The sequence below is a fragment of the Homo sapiens genome, chromosome 10 (assembly GCF_000001405.40).
Source record: "Homo sapiens chromosome 10, GRCh38.p14 Primary Assembly".
Lineage (NCBI taxonomy): Eukaryota > Metazoa > Chordata > Mammalia > Primates > Hominidae > Homo > Homo sapiens.
The window spans coordinates 49,320,342-49,336,971 of NC_000010.11; the positions used below are offsets into that span (position 1 = coordinate 49,320,342).

At 49.5% G+C, this 16,630-nt stretch overlaps 1 protein-coding gene across 6 annotated transcripts in view, besides 1 other annotated feature; it reads left to right on the forward strand.

Moving 5' to 3' along the window:
* Positions 1–7,151, forward strand: part of C10orf71 (chromosome 10 open reading frame 71) — a 30,443-nt gene extending 23,292 nt beyond the window's left edge. For 4 of the 6 annotated variants that reach the window (XM_005269478.5, XM_005269477.4, NM_001135196.2 and 1 more), the window contains exon 3: positions 2,061–7,151. In XM_005269478.5, coding sequence (XP_005269535.1) covers positions 2,205–6,512 — 4,308 coding nt within the window. In that variant the 5' untranslated portion in view covers positions 2,061–2,204 and the 3' untranslated portion in view covers positions 6,513–7,151. The remainder of the gene's footprint in view (positions 1–2,060) is intronic. The other 2 variants (XM_047424549.1, XM_017015619.2) reach the window with 1 other exon arrangement.
* Positions 15,141–16,340: an enhancer, noted in NCBI's record as "CDK7 strongly-dependent group 2 enhancer chr10:50543527-50544726 (GRCh37/hg19 assembly coordinates)". NCBI's record gives its function as "activates an origin of replication core promoter dependent on BRD2, BRD4, P300/CBP, MED14 and CDK7 cofactors, with strong dependence on CDK7, by STARR-seq in HCT116 cells {active_cell/tissue: HCT116}" and the evidence as "EXISTENCE:reporter gene assay evidence [ECO:0000049][PMID:35650434]".

Genomic DNA, 16,630 nt, shown 5'->3' on the forward strand with positions numbered 1-16,630 from the left:
ACCAGGCTCCTGCCAGCACCTCTACTGGCCACCCCCACAGGCTGGTCCCAGAGGTAAGGGGCCCAGGTGATGCAGACTCTGGGGAGCATATCCTCTTAGGGTGGTTCTGGGATGAGGGGCAATCAGCGAACAGACAACCCAGCAGTCCCCATATGCCTGGCACTGACAGTCTAATCATGGGATAGGCCACAAAGATGTAAACTTAATCTTCGATCATGCTTGGTACCATGAAGAAAATAAACCATGCACAGTGAGAGAGATGAGCAAGGAGGGAACACCCATGGAATATCAGGGAAGGACTCTGCAAAAACACCACTGAACTTCAGGCACTGTATGGGTCTGATTCTGCAGAAGATCAGAACCAATAGGATATGTGGCTATAGAGAGGGAGTGATTTATTTTAAGGAACTGGCTGGAGTGATTGTGAAGGCTGGCAAGTCCAAAATGGGAATAGCTGGAGACCCAGGAAGAGTTGATGACACAGCTCCAATCCAAAGATGATCCAAAGGCGGAAGTTCCTCTTCCTCAAGGGACTGTCTTTTTTTAAGCCATTTTATTGAGGTATGATTGGCATACAAAAAGCCACACATATTTAATGTGTACAGTTTGATGAACTTGGAGATAAGTATGCACCCCATGAAGCCATCACCACAATCCATGCATAAAACTATCCATCACCTCCAAACATTTCCTCCCACCGCTTTTATTTATTATTTGTGTATGTGTGATAAGAGCATTTAACATAATATCTATCCTCAGCAAATTTCAAGCACATAACACAGTATTGTTAACTACAGACACCTGCTGTACATCAGATCTCCAGAACTAATTCATCCTGCATAACTGAAACGTTACTTCCTTTGACAAATAACTCCCCCCTTCCCTGCTTCCCAGCCTCTGACAACCCCCACTCTACTCTGCTTCTATGAGTTTGACTGTCTAAGCTTCCTCAAGTAAGTGACATCAATCAGTGTTTGTCTTTCTGCGACTGGGTTGTTTCTCTTAACAAAATGTCCTCCAATTTCACCCATGTTATCATAAATTTAAAAATTTCCTGCTTCTTTAAGGTTGAATAATTCCATTGTATGCATATACCACATTTTCTTTATCCATTCATCCATCAATGGAAATTTTGTTCACTTCTCTGTCTTGGCCACTGTGAGTAATGAACAGGTGGGTGCAGATACTTTAATATCCTAATTTCATTTCCTTTGGGCCTGTACCCAGATATGGGAATGTTGGATCATATAGTAGTTCTAGTCTTAATTTTTTGAAGAATCTTTATACTGTTTTCCAAAGTGACTACATCAATTTACATTTCCACCAACAGTGTACAGGGGTCCCCTTTTCTCCACATCCTTACCAACACTTGTCATCTTTTCTTTCTTTGATAATAGCCATCCTAACAGGCATGATGTGATATGTCATTGTGGCTTTGATCTGCATTTCCCTGATGGTTAGTGATGGTGAGCCCCTTTTTATATACCTGTTTGCCATTTCTATGTCTTCTTTGGAGAAATATCTGTTCAGTTTCTCTACCCATTTTTAAATCAGCGGGTTTGGGGTTTTGTTTCATTTTGTTTTGTTTGTTATTCGGTTGTAGGAGTTTCTCATGTATTTTGGAATATTAACCCTTTATCAGATACACAGTTTGAAAACATTTTCTTCCATTCCATAGAATACCTTTTCATTTTTGTGATTGTTTCCCTTGCTGTGCAGAAGCTTTTGAATTGATGTAATCCCACTTGTCTATTTTTGTTTGTGTTGCTTGCGAACTCAGTCTTTTTACTCTTAGGGCCTTCAACTAATTAAATGAGGGCCACCTGCCTTATAGAAGATAAACTGCTTTACTTAAAGTCTACTGATTTTAGTGTTAATCACATCTAAAAAATACCTTCACAGAAACAGCTAGACCGGTCTACAGTCTATACATATAGCAAGCTTGCCAAGTTTGACACATAAAATTAACCCTCACAGGCACCATTTTCCACCTGAACCAGCACATATTCTTGTGTAGAGCTGTATACTTTGTTCACGCCCTGCACCTTTTTCTTTTGCAGAGAAAAAAAAAAATCCCCACTTTGCAATTGCATCTGGTCAATGAGAGGCTCTAGTTTTGGGGAAGAGGGAAACACCTAACCTTGACAGAATCATCACCAGAGACACCTGCCGGCTGACAAGGACAGCTTTCTTGGAGCCAACAGATGATGCAAGGAAATAAGAAGTGCACAGACGCGTTCAGCGACTCCTCCAGCATCGGCAGCGTGTTGGATGATGCAGACAGGGAGGTGAGCAGCCTAACAGACCGGGCATTCCGGAGTTTGTGCATCTCCGAGGACACATCCTTCCATGACTCCTATCTGGCTGTGTCCCCGGATATCACCCGACAGGTGTTTGGGACTTTTCACCAGAGAACAGTGGGCCACACCCAGAGGAAAAGTGGCATTTGGAGCCAGTTACCGTCACAGGGCACGGAACATTCGGGCTGGGCGGCCACCTTCCAACAGCTACCCAAGTACGTTCAGGGAGAGGAAAAGTACCCCAAAACCAGCCCCCCACCAACGCCAGTCCAGAGGAGACTGGAGGTGCCAGTTTCCGGCCTAAGGAGCAGCAATAAGCCTGTCTCCAAAGTATCAACACTAATTAAATCTTTCGACAGGACCGAGAGCCAACGTTGTGAGAGCAGGCCCACTGCCAGCAAGCCTCCGGCTCTGAAAAATCCTCCCAAATTCGCTCCTCTTCCAGAAAACAGTGTCAACTTCTGCTTCGATTCTGCCTTTCTGACAGTCAGGAGGGTGCCCGCTGAAGTTTCCAACACCCATCAGAACAGCTACCAGCCAGGCAGGAAGCACGGAGAACAGGAGTCCTCCAAGAATCCAGAAATGGCCTGTCACGGCTCCAGCAGCTTCCTCCCAGCAGCCAATGACACGGCCACCTTATGTGAGTCAAAGTTCCCCTCTCCACACCACAAGCCAGTCACGGGTGAGCCTGGGAGAGGCAAAGGTACCTTTCTGCACAGTGAAAATAGTGCTTTTGAGTCATGGAATGCCCACCAACCAAAGCTGCTGGAGAGAAAGGACACAGCTGGAACCGTCCCAGAAAGCAAAGCTCCCAAGCACTATGGGGACACGACCTTGCTAAGAGAACCCTGTCCTCCTGAGCGCACAGTCTCTCCCTGCCAGGTCCAGGCCAGCTGCAGTCAGGAAGAGAACAGACTTGCAGCAGGGGCTCTGTCCACATCTATACCCTGGGGGTGCAGGGATCCAGGAGCCCAGGTATTTGCTGTGGAAGGAAAAGCTCCCAGCTCACAACCTGATTCTCAAGAGAAGCCAGCCCAGCCCCCATGGAGGAAGCCAAAGACTGGCAAAAAAGGGAAAGAAAGTCTACAAGATACTTTAGAAGAAAAGACACAGACCAACCAGAGAGGCCCACCTTTGTATACAAAACACAACCCCCAGGAACAGTTTTCAGAAAACAATGCTCTTGACCTGCCTGTGGAACCCAATGAACATTATGATCCCCCCTTTAACATCAGTAAGCTCCTGACCCCCATCATACCCAGCAAGCACGCCCTGGATTCAGCAGACAGCCAGCCAGCAGAGCGAACCCCATCACCCCCAGGACAGCTAAACGGATACCAAGAGAAGGAGCCCAGTGAATGTCAGTCTCGAGACAGCTACAAGTCCAAAGCCCCTAGCCTGCTGTTCAACCTCAAGGACGTGCGGAAGCGTGTTAAGAGCACATACAGTTCCTCACCTCTCTTGAAAGTGCTTGATGAGAAAACTAGAGGTAAGGTTGATGGAAAGCAAGAACCTGTGAGCAACGGTGTCATCCTCCCCAATGGGCTTGAGGAAAGCCCTCCAAATGAGCTTTCTAAGGAGAGACCCGCTGATGACCCCACTGCATCACACATCAATCCCCAGAAGGACCCTACAGCTGACCCCAGTGAGCCCTCTGCAGACAGCTATCTAACTCTTAGCACAGCTCCGACTATCGCCAAAGCCCCCTTCTATGTCAATGGGGAGGCTGCTGAGAGAAGCAGTTATGAGAACAAGGAGGTGGAAGGAGAGTTGGAGATGGGTCCTGCCGGATCCAGCTGGTGTCCAGACTCCAGGGAACACCGCCCCAGGAAACACCTCTCCCTGAGGCTTTGCAATAGGGATCCTGAGCCTGGAGGGGCTACAGAGAAAATGAAGACCCACCAGCTAGAGAATGGGCTCTCCAGATCTGTGTCCCAAGAGACAGAACCTGAGAGGGAAGCAGGACTTCAGAACACACATTTGAACCAGAAATTCTTCCCAGGGCCCCTCTCTCCTGAGGAGGAAGATGTGTTTTACAGTGACAGCCAATCCGATTTTATGCCAAGCCTCAAAGGTAAGGCCAAATTCAGCACCAGCTCTTCAGATCAATCCTTTGCCTCATTTGATGATCAGCAGAAGATGTGGTTTACTGAGAACCAGCGGGAAGACAGGAGGAAGGATGTGAGTGCAGGTGACAGTCAGAAGGATGAGAAGGAGAATGTGATGCGGAAGGATGAGCTGCAGTACTGTGCCTTAAGCAATGGGCACGCATGCCTGGAAAACCGCAGCCAGGGGGAAGCATTGCAAAGAGAAAGGGAAAGTGTGTCTGGAGGAAGAACCAGGAAGGCATCAGCAGAGGAAGCTAATTTCAGAGGCTCTTGGATTGGGGAAAATAAGGGCACAACCTTTTCACAGGCCAAAGACCTTACTCCCTCACCATCTTCTGCTTCAAACAGGCACATGCTGTTTACGATTAAAGACAACACCCTCAGAGCTACCCCCGTAATTAAACCTATCATGCTGCCTCTCCTGAGGACCATGTCCTTGGAGGACTCCCTCAGCAGTGGCCACAAAGAGGAGGAATTGCCAAGGCCAGAATGGGGTGAGGATCCTGGGTTTTGTGCCCCCGAAAACCAGGACATTCTTGGTACATCGACACCCACTAACACACGGGGCACACGTGTGAAGTGCATGGCCAACGAGGTCATGGAGGACCCTGGGCAGGGGTCGAGCATGGCCAGGATGGAGGCCTCTCAGCCAGCCCCAAAGGGGAATTTCCCATCTATGCCTCTGGTGGGAGAGGGGGACCGGGTGAAGGCACCACCAGATGCTGCACCTGGCCTCGTGGCAAGCAATTGCAAGAGCGGTTCTGCAGACTCAGGGAAGCTGGCAGCCCCATGGCACATCCCCACCATTGCTTTACCCGAGGGTGACATAGAAGACCAGCCACCCCCATGGCAGCCCGAAAACTGTTGGGAAGAGCAAACACCAGGTTTCAAGAGTCACTTTTTGTCCACACCCAGAGCAGGGCCCCCTGGCAGAAGACTGGTCCCCAGTGAGAGGGCGAATTCCCCCAACCCCGGCTCCCCCGGGGAGAGCAGTGCCTGCTCCCCTGCTGCCAGCAACATTTGGGAGGAGTCTTCCCAGGCCCCTGGAGGACCAGAGCTGCTTCCCGAGGAGCCTAATCAAGCCAGCCCCTGGGCCAGCTCCAGTCCTGCCAGGGTCACCCGGAGGGAGGACCTGACCCACGCCCTCGTGTGGGAGGGCGGCTCTGACCCCCTACTTGAGCTGTCGGCAGAAGACCTCCGGACCCTCTCTCCAAGAGGTTCATTGCTGGATGTGGCCACCAGCCCAGCAGGCACCTCTGGGAGACTTGAGCTTCCTGCACAGCTAGAGAGGACAGCAAGCAAGCCACCTGCAGTCCCACCCAAAACAGAGAAAGCCCTGCGGCGGGCAAAGAAGCTGGCAAGTAAGAGGAGGAAGACGGATCAGGCTCAGGAGAAGCATGGCGAGTCACAGGAGGGAAAGCCCTGCCCGGAGGACTTGGAGCAGACACAGCAAAGGCCGCTGTGCCCCAGAGAGAGGCCCCGACACAATTTCCCCGTGGTCCGTTCCCTGCCCCCTCCCGTGCACCGCCACTCCGTGTCCGGCTTCTCGGAGCCTGTCGGGAGGCGGCCCGGGGGCCCCCAGTCCCTCACACCCCTGCCCGCGTACCCCGCCACCCAGAAGGTCCTCCAGGATCCGCAGTCCGGGGAGTACTTTGTCTTCGACTTGCCACTCCAGGTGAAAATCAAGACCTTCTATGACCCAGAGACGGGCAAGTATGTCAAGGTCTCCATCCCGTCCTCCGAGGGGGCCTCCCCAGAGCCGCCCCCACCGGACGCCCTGGCCGCTCCCTATGTGCTGTACCCCGGCTTCCAGCCAGTGCCCGTGACGGCCTTGATGCCGCTGCGCTGCTCCTCTCAGCTCTCCGCGCCCACCTTCCTCAGGCAGGGCCCTCGTGCCTCCGCGGCCCGCGCCAGGACCCAGAGTGTCCACGAGTCTGGACTACAGCTGGACCCAGGGCCTCACGGTGACTGCACCCCGCACTCTGCAGGCCAGCGCCCTCATGGTCCTCCCCAGAGCCCAGGAGAGGAGGGTGTAGAAGCTCCAGGCCTGGGCATCATCTCCACTGATGACCTAGAGGACTTTGCCACAGAAGGCATTTCTTGAGTTACTGCAGGCTGTCCCCCACCCCCAGATGAACCCAGAGGAGCTTACTTCCCCCTCCCCCAAAACAAGCAACACACACACACACACACACACACACACACACACACACGATCATCAACACATACTTAGCCTTTTTAGATCCATAAAGTCCAGAAGGCAGTAGGGATCCCAAGACGACCTCACCCAAAGGGCTCCCTGGCTCTCCTCTGATGGAGGGGCACTGCTTGCTTGGCCCGGTCCCCTCCGTGCCAGTTCCCAGGCGCACTCTACTCCAGCCCTTCTCCCTCCCTCCCTTCCTCCCTCTCCTGGCCCACCCTGCTCTTCCCTCGCCCTGCAAATTAGGTGGGTGTGGCAAGGGCACCGCCTGGTCCCAAGTGTCCCTCTGTACCCACACCCACCCACTCACTTGTAAGCTCCTTGATGAGCAAACCCCTAAGGCCCCCAGCTCAGACTCAGCAGGCATTCAGGTCAACTCAGGCAGACTGGCTAAGGACCAGCCCAGGGCAATTTTGCAGAAATGATCATTTGCACAGAATGGGTTTCCTTCACAGGGAGAAACTTGCCTCTGAAAGCTATTTTCTGATCAAGAAAAGGCCCACTTTTTAAAAAGTGAAACAAGTTTGCAGATACGGTTCTCTTCCTGGACTCCTGTCTTCCTTCTGTGGGCAGTAGGGGTCAGGGCTGACAGAGCCACCTCCCTGTCTACCACAGTCTGAGTCTGGCGTCCCACCTTGTCCCTTCAACACCTGTCCATGCCTTCTCAGGGCCAGGCCCTCCAGTGGGTCCTGACTGCCCTGATTTAGTAACCAGTACCTGTGCCCTCCACTCAAAAAGAAAGTGTGTTCACACCCTCACCCCCCATCAGTTCCTGACCTTTGGGGATTTGGAGGGAAGTGTTGGGATTAACTGAAGAGTTTGAGAGTTTTACCTAATGAAACGGATCCACTGGCCCAGCACAGTAAAGCCAAAATCCACACTGAGGTTTGCAGTGGGAGAAAGGAGGGTGTTTATTTGCAGGGCACCAAGCAAGGGGAATCAGGCAGCTCACGCTTAAAACCCAACCTCCCCCGTGGCTTGCAAGCATGGATTTTTAATGGCAAGGGAAATGTTCAGGAAAGCCAAAGTTACAGGTGAAATTGTAAATCAACACATGGAGGGTACACATTGGTTCGGCCTAAAAAGGCAGGATATCTTGAACCAGGGACTTACGGGTCATAGGGTGGAGTCAAACATTTTCTGAATTGCAATTGGTTAAGGAAGAGAAGCTTTGTTTTAAAATTTGGGTTAGCAGAAAGGAATGTTAGCTCTGGCTTGTGGGTGGGACTTCCCCCAGGCCCCCCAGGAAGAAATATAGAACAAAGAGCCGTGCTCAGAGTTCAGTCCTCAGCTCCCTCTTCTCTGAGGTCTCTGTGCCAGTGGATCCGTTTGGTGGGGGTCTGGGTTTCTGAAAAACAACTCGGAGTCAGAAGTTGAGATGTTCTTTTTAATTTCCAGAGGGAACAAAACACCCCAGGACTCTGGCTTCCTTCGCTGTTGTTTTAGGTTATTATTACCTTCCTGCTTATCAAGTTGTTCATTGGCTTCTTAGGGCTAGCTAAGTGCCTGGAATTTCCCTTGAAGGAAACCAAGATTTTCCTGTATTTCCATGGTTGGGGAGGGGACCCTGCTCGATCTTCAGAACAGGTGCCCTCTTGCAGGCAGCCGGCTAGGAAGGAAACCAGCACCCAGGGTATTGATAGGTTTCCATGCCACGGCTTCTACAGAAGCCTCTTAATTCTTGTTCTACTGGAAACACAGGGGCAAAACGTGCCTCCCTCTTTGTTTAGAAACCTCAGCAGCTGCCAGGACTATGCTGCCCAGGGCCCAGGGGACCATGCAAGATGCATTGTCCTTGTCCTGTTGGCAAAGGCGCCATTTCCACACTGGGAGGATGGGGAGGCATTCAGTAAACCAAGTCCCAGACTCACACAAATACAGGGGCTTTGATTTGGATTCAAGATTTTATACCTTTTTGTTTTCCCAACAAGTGCAGCCACACCTGATTTTCATTGTGAAAATACCACACAACGCCCCCTCCTTTCCTCCCAACCAATGCCATTCAATTTGGCCACACCTGTTGCCAGCCACGCAACCAGCCAGGAGTGCAAGCAGATCACTATCCCAAAATCTGGTTCCCATGAGTCGCTCACTGGGTGCAAGCGACAAGAACAAAGCTGCATTTTGGCCTGCCTCCAAATCACCTCAAGCATCCTCTCCACTTTGTTTTCATCTCACTAAAACATGAGAAGGAATATCTCATTTTGCAATTCTCAGGGTCCAAGGAAAAGAATTGTCTAACGAAGGAAGAGTCCATCTGTTCAATAAGAACCACGGTTATAGTAACTATGTCCCCACAGGAGAAAATATTACTTTGGGGAACTTATTTTGGGGAAGCGATCTTCTTCCTTAGAACCAATATTGGCAAGGCTGTGGGTAGAACTAAACACATAAAGTCTTGCTCCCAGCAAGTCAGCTAGAAGGACGCCTCACTCCCTTACAGCACTGGGCCTGTCTTCCTGAAGCACAGAATGCCTCCAGGGAACACAAGCAGAGAGTCTCCATCCAGTGAAGCCCAACTCACTAGCCAGTGATGTTTTCCTCTTTCCATTTGCTCCTGAGGGAGGTCATGTATGCCTTCTTCCTTCCTCACGCCCTCCTTCTTTCTCCCTTCCTTGTTTCCCTCCCTCTCTCCTTCTCTCTCTTCCTTTCTTCTTTCCTCCCTCCCTTTTACAAACATTTGCACTGTGCCAGGCACTTTGATGGGCGCTGATGGTACCATGACAATAAGATCTGGTCTCTGCACTCAAGGAGTTAAAATCTAACAGAGAAGAAAGATAATTACAATCCCACATGTTACGTAATTTAATAGGTTGTTCTGAGGAACACCTAACTTGCTCTGGCTTCAGGGGTTGGCACCTGAGCCAAGTCAAGAAACACAAAGCTGTCCATTAATTTATGAAAAAATTCAGAATTTCCCCAGCTTTAATCTATCAAAGATGACATTGATTAAATACTAATAGATTTGTCTTGCTATATCAAAGCATATTAATTTAGCTAACTGTTCATCAGCATTTCTAATCAGCACAAAAGCTGAACCAGTGTAGCCTCACAGGATAGACCTTGGTTGATAGGTCTTTCAGCTTCTGAATTGATATTTCACTCACAGGGGTTGCCCAGCAAAACCACTATTTCTGCCATTGTGTTTAGTAGGACAGTGGTGAGATTTATGACAACATGTTGTTTGTGGAAATTACAGATGTTGTCTGCATCTTCTGTGTAGTACCCTGGCCCTTTTCTATGAGTATGACCCCTCTAAATGTCTCCTGGGGAGAGGACATGGAGGTGGAGCACCTCCAGGAAACAGTTGAAGGTCCCGGGTTGTTCAACTAAACATGACCAAGGGCTCACATTGTCAAACATGTACCATGCGCTGGCCCATGAGTGGGGAGCTTGAGCCTGGACTTGGTCCTCCCAGCAAGCCCTTGAGAGAGGCCCTCATTAGCCTCATTTTACTGTAAAGGAAACAAAGGTGCCAAGATGGGATGTAACTGCCCACGGTCACAGAGCCACTAAGTGAGGGGCCATGCCAGGGTCTTGGGCCCCTCTTACTTCTAGGTGGACTCTTTAATACTCAACCAGTACTTCGTAAGTGCGGTCCCTGCAGCAGCAGCCTCCACATCACCAGGGGCTTGTGAGAAGTCCAGAATCCCTATCTCCATCTTCACAAGCTTCCCTGGGTGGTTGATCCATTTGTGCATTGAATTCTAAGTGCTGTCAGTCTCTGCTTAGCCTGTATAAATTTTGGGGAGGTGCACTGGATGTCTTCATGTCTCCACAGCAATGTCTTGTGCAAAGGAAGAGAGCAGCACATCTAGGTGGGGGAGTTGCAGGGAGATGATTGACACTCAATGTGAGAAAGGCATCTCTGAGGACGAGCATCATCTTTTTTTTTTTTTTTATTTGAGACAGAGTCTCACTCTGTTGCCCAGGCTGGAGTGCAGTGGCTCGATCTCAGCTCACTGCTACCTCTGCCTCCCGGATTCAAGCAATTCTCCTGCCTCAGCTTCCTGAGTAGTTGAGATTACAAGTGCGCACTACCGCACCTGGCTAATTTTTGTATTTTTAGTAGTGACGAGGTTTTGCCATGTTGCCAGGCTGGTCTCGAACTCCTGACCTCAAGTGATCCACCCACATTGGCCACCCTAAGTGCTGGGATTACAGGCGTGAGCCACGACATCCAGCCACTAGGATCGTCTTGACATTACGTCAACTGCTAGGGATAACTGAGCTCCCTGCCACTGGAAATGTACAATGGAAGCTGATGACCCCTTTCCTAAGACAAGGATGGATTCAGGTATCAGAAGGGACCTAACTATCTTTTGGGACCCCAGGCTACTTTTGGGGCTCCAGTATGCCACCGGCAAGGATGCAAGGTCTCAACAAGGAGTGGCCATAGGCACATGATGGAAAACATTTGCATACAAAAGGGGAGCTCTGTGGCAAAACCTGAACTCTGTGCATGTAGGAAACATTTTGGCCTAGATACACCATGAAGTTGAACACACCTGTTTGTACAGGTCTTCCAAATCATTCAGATGTGAAGTCCAAAGTGAGTGGAGCAAACTCGGAGCCACATCCCTGAGCTTGTCACCACCAGAGTCTTGTTTAGGCTTCCTCAGTGTCACCTCACAGAGCCGCCTGAGCAGAGGGGTCTTCCCTTCCACCAGGTGGATGGGTGGGCTCCTCCCTTAGCTGCTGGCTTCTAGCAGAATGCTCCAGCCTGCCTGGGCCTCAGAATCATCTGTGCACTTGTTAACACTTGTTATTCATCCCAGCCCTATTTCCAATTCACCTCATCAGATTCTCCAAGTGTGGGAAAGAGTCAATGCAGAGGTGCAAATTCCCGGGAGTTTCTGGTTAAACCAGTCTCACAAATGCCACTCCAGAGCACAGTTCCACATCTGGGCCCCACATACTGGCCAGGAGCTGCCAGGCCCAGAGTTCTGCTCAGGGGAAACACCCTCCTGTGGAAGGTTATGTGGAGGTAGGACCTGGGGCAAGAAGAACTCAGAGGCACTACTTTCTTCATGTGGAAGCGGTGAATGGGGAAAGGTATGACAGCCCTTGAGGGCCACCCAGTGCAGCCTCCAGCCCTGCGCAGAGCCACCTGGCCTGCTTCCTGCTGCCACACCTTCCTCTCCTCCTCCAGGTGTGCCCCAAAGCTCTATCAGGAGGCTACTCTTCCACAGAAGGGAGGAGGGGCATTGTTAGAAATAAAGACTTCCCTTTGAAGGAAAGTTCAAACTTTCCCTCTGAAGGTTCCATAATTGAATCTGCTGAGATAAACTGACAATAGACAGATTAACCAGAGAAAAGGCCTACAAATTTATTAACATGCAAGCCCAGGGGAGTTGCACGAAGTGTGCAACTCTAAGAAGAACCAGATGGTTGAAACTTAAATATCCTCTTTGTAGAGGAGAGGGAGTTGGGGGTTGCAATTCTGAGGAAGAGTAAATGATTTTTTAGGGAAGATAAATGGGTCCAAAGAACAGACAATGGCCTAGAGCAAAGTTCCCCTGGGTCCCGGGTGTGGTATCCACTCCAGTCGTCTTTCCAAGCCTTCTTTCCTGTAAGTTCATCTCTGTTTGACAAGCTAGGGAAGGGAGTCCAAGACAACTGCATTCCTTCTGGAGGAACTTCCCTTAGTCAAGAAAGCCCCTCCTTGCCCTTCGGGAGAGGCAAAGAGGTGTGGGACAGGGTCTAGAGAAGGTCAGAGGGACCTTGGTTCTGGGGCTGCTTCTTCAGTTCAAAGTATTCAGCATGTCAACGCACCACACTTTAGGGTAACACTTTAAACTGGGTGAAGCCTGGGGCTCTGACCTACGCAAGTAGATGTCCGAGGATGAAGGTGCTCCACTAACCACTATCCCCAAACAGGGAGTTAACCTTCTTGTGCTCATCATTTGCCAAACTGTGGTTTAGTTTTTAAGTCTTTGCACTGTCTCAGAATTTTTCTCGAGCCTCAGCTTGCTCTGGGCACTGTCACATGGATGCCATTTCCCTGGGTCCTTGTCTGGCATCAGTCCTGCTCCTGGGTCCCAGCCCCAACTCCCACCGCTTGTGGCCATCCTTCCTGAGCTTCAGAGCCCTCCCTTAGGCCCCTTCATGAGAACATTGTCAGCACCTGCCTTCCTGTCATTCGTGATCATTCTTCTATTTTCCTCTGAATTTGGAAACCTTTGGCTCGTGTGGTCCTCTTTCCCATTTACAAAGGCCATATACGTCACCAGTCTCCTTTGGCATTCCCGTGCTTTTACCAGCCCATTCCTCCTCACTGATGTAGCCTGAAAAAGTCAGCAGGCCAAGTCAATAGTTAATCGAACAGTTGGCTTCTAGCAGAGACTGCCAGCCAGTGCTGACAGAAGTGGAGACCTCGTTGCTGCTTTCTTGCACTTGTAGTCTTCATGTACTTGTGTGAGGAGTGACCCCTGCACAGGGCAAGGTGATCGCAGTGCCCCCACCCCCCATCTGTCCTGACTCACACACAGTTACTACATCTCCATGCACAGGGCAAGTTGATCTCAGTGGGCGCCCCCATCTGTTCTGACCCACACACAGTTACCACATCTCCACTGTCCAATGTGCTGGTTTCCCAAAAGGCGGATACCTCTTGATTGAAACCTTTAGACCAATGCTCCACATCACTAATCATTAGGGAAATGTAAATCAAAACCACAATAAGATACCACCTTATACCCAATGGATGGCTACTATCAAAAAGAAAATGGAAAATAGCAAGTGTTGGCGAGGGTGTAGAGAAATTGTACACTGCCTGGTGGTCCAAGCCATAGTCCTGGTTGCCATCCCACCTGCTCCCAATCTCTTGCCCCCAATTCAGTTAGGCCCCAAACCTGTCAATTATACCTCCAGGTATTTATCAGTCCATCATCCATCTGCACCCACCATCATCCCTCACAGGACTGTTGCTGGCATCTCTTCACTGCTCCCACTTCTATTATGACCTCCTTCTCAACTGCTCCCACAGGGTAGCCTGAGGTCCTGATTAATGCACCTTCCTGATCCAGGAAGTACCAAAATGTTCCTGCTCACCTCAGGATAGAGCTGGGCTCCAGGGCACAGCTTGCAAGGTCATCATGCATTGGAGTCTCCATCCTCTCCAGCCTCATCGCCTGCCTGTCCCTACAGCTTCTTTACACCTCGGCTTCCCGGAGCTTCTCCGAGATGACCAAACAGACCATTTCCAGCCCTTTCCACATGCCCTTTTTTCTGCGGCTGTGTTAAACTCCCCCTGCCTCAGAAGGTGAGAAACTTTGACCCCCTCCGTCAAAGGTGGGGAAACACCATGCCACTTCTGCTGGTCCTCTGGGATACACACTCCTGAAGTCCCAGTGGCCACAGACGCAGTCTGTGTATCCTAGGTCACTCCACCATAAGGAAAGCCACATCAGCCCATATGGAGAGATGGTCTGGAGGGGCCCTGGGACCATATGTACGAGAGGGTATACTAGGCTGGTTTTGTGTGTGTGTGTTTTTTGGTTTTTTGGTTTTCTGTTTTTGTTTTTGTTTTGAGAAGGAGTCTCATTCTTTGCCCAGACTGGAGTGCAGTGGCTCAATCTTGGCTTATTGCAACCTCCGCCTCCTGGGTTCAAGCGATTCTCCTGCCTCAGCTTCCCGAGTAGCTGGGACTACAGGCAGGAGCCACGATGGCCAGGTAAGTTTTGTATTTTTAGTAGAGTTTCACCATGTTGGCCAAGCTGGTCTCGAACTCCTGATCTCAAGTGATCCACCCACTTCACCTTCCCAAATTGCTGGGATTACAGGTGTGATGATTGCTATAAAGAAATACCTGGGGCTGGGTCATTTATAAAGAAAAGAGGCTTAATTGGCTCACAGTTCTGCAGGCTGTACAGGAAGCATAGCGGTATCTGCTTCTGGACAGTGGGGTGGGGGATCTAAGGAAGTTTCCAATCATGGCAGAAGGCAAAGCAGGGGCAGGCACGTCACATGGCAAAGGCAGAAGCAAGAGAGAGAGTGGTGGGGGAGATGCCACACACATTTAAGTGACCAGATCTCACAAGACCTCACTATCATGAAGACAACACCAAGCCATGAGGGATCTGCCCCCATGACCCAAACACTTCCCACCAGGCCCCACCTCCAACACTGAGGATTACAATTCAACATGAGATTTGGGTGGGGACATATATTCAAAGCACATCAGAAGGAGAGGTGGCCAGCCAGTTAGGCATGCTCATCCATACTGTTTCAGCTCCATCCATGGGCTGACAGAGACCAGGTTCCTGACTCACAAAGCTGTGAAAAGCAATGAAGATTGTTGTTATTTTTACTCTAAGCCACTAGGTTTTGCAGTGCTTTATGACACAGCAACAGATAACCAGAGCCCTCTCTTTCTCCCAGTCTCCCTTCCCTCTCTACCCTCACACAGTCCCTGAAACCTCACCCTTTTCCAGCCTTCTCTTGTCCACTCCCTGTGGGTCCTGACCTACAGCCTTCTCTTGACTACTTCCTGTGGGTCCTGACCTACAGCCTTCTCTTGTCTGCTTCCGGTGGGTCCTGACCTGCAGCCTCCTCTTGTCTACTTCCTGTGGGTCCTGACCTACAACCTTCTCTTGACTACTTCCTGTGGGTCCTGACCTACAACATTCTCTTGACTACTTCCTGTGGGTCCTGACCTGCATAGAGCCTTCTCTTGACTATTTCCCTTGAGTCCTGACCTACATACAGCCTTCTCTTGACTACTTCCTGTGGGTCCTGACCTACAGCCTTCTCTTGACTACTTCCTGTGTATCCTGACCTACAACATTCTCTTGACTACTTCCTGTGGGTCATGACTTACAGCCTTCTTTTGTTCACTTCTTGTAGGTTCTAACATACAGCCTTCTCTTGTCTGTTCCCTGTGGATTCTAATCTACAGCCTTCTTTTTTCTAAATTATATGGATCCTAATCTTACAACTTTCTCTTATTTACTTCCTAAGGATCCTAACTTTATAGCCCTCTCTTTTCTACCTCCTGTGGATCCTAACCCTACAGCTTCCTTTTGTCTGATTTCTACACATCCTAACCTTACAGTCTTTAATGTCTTATTTCTACAGATCCTAATCTTACAGCCCTCTCTGGCCTAATTCTTACAGATCCCAACCTTATAACCTTCTCTTGTCTAATTCCTCCAGAGTTTAACCTTGCAGTCTTTTCTAATTTCTAGAGACCCAAAACAGATAGCCTTCTCTTGTATATCTATTATGTACCTTAAAGTACCCTGATTAGATGTCATGTCCCTCTAGGAGGCTGTCCCTGATGCCTTAACTCCTAACCACGCACCTCACTTTCTTAGTCCACCAGCACTGTGTACTTCTCCCATCATTGGACATATTGTCATTGCCTATTTAAGTGTTTGTCTTCCTAACTCAGGCAATGGTCAGTTTTGGAGGAAGCAATCTTGCCTATCCACATCATGTTGTATCCCTAGAGGCTAACACAGTGCCAGGTACAAGGTAGGCAACTAGTAAACATCTTTCGGCTCTTATGATGAGTTTTTATTTTCTTATTTTAAATTGTTGGGTTGAAGCCAGTAAAAAGAATTTTTTGGAAGAGCAACCAATGCCCTATTGATTGTGTTTCTTCACTTTACCCAACTAGCTGTTGGACACCATGTAGATGAGCTCCGGTTCCAAGTCACAGTGAGCGCTTTCCCCCAAACCCCCATGTGGTTTCTAGACTGAACCCCACAGATGGGATCTCAGGTATCCAAGAACAGGCATCCTGCAATGTAACCCCTATGTAAGTACTTACATCTAACTAATGTTCTTTGATGAGAAATGTCATGCCTGCCAAGAAAAGGAGGCCAAAAGTCTTGCCCAGCACTCACAACAACATCCAAAGCTCAAATTAGAAATGAAGTATTATTTGGTTTTGTTACGATGAAATGATGAAGACATTAGGCAAATTGTATTAAGTGAAAGTGGTGGATATGCCTGAATTCTGTGTTTATTACCACAGGGATAATTCAGCTTCAGACTACAGTCTTCATTGTGTTTGT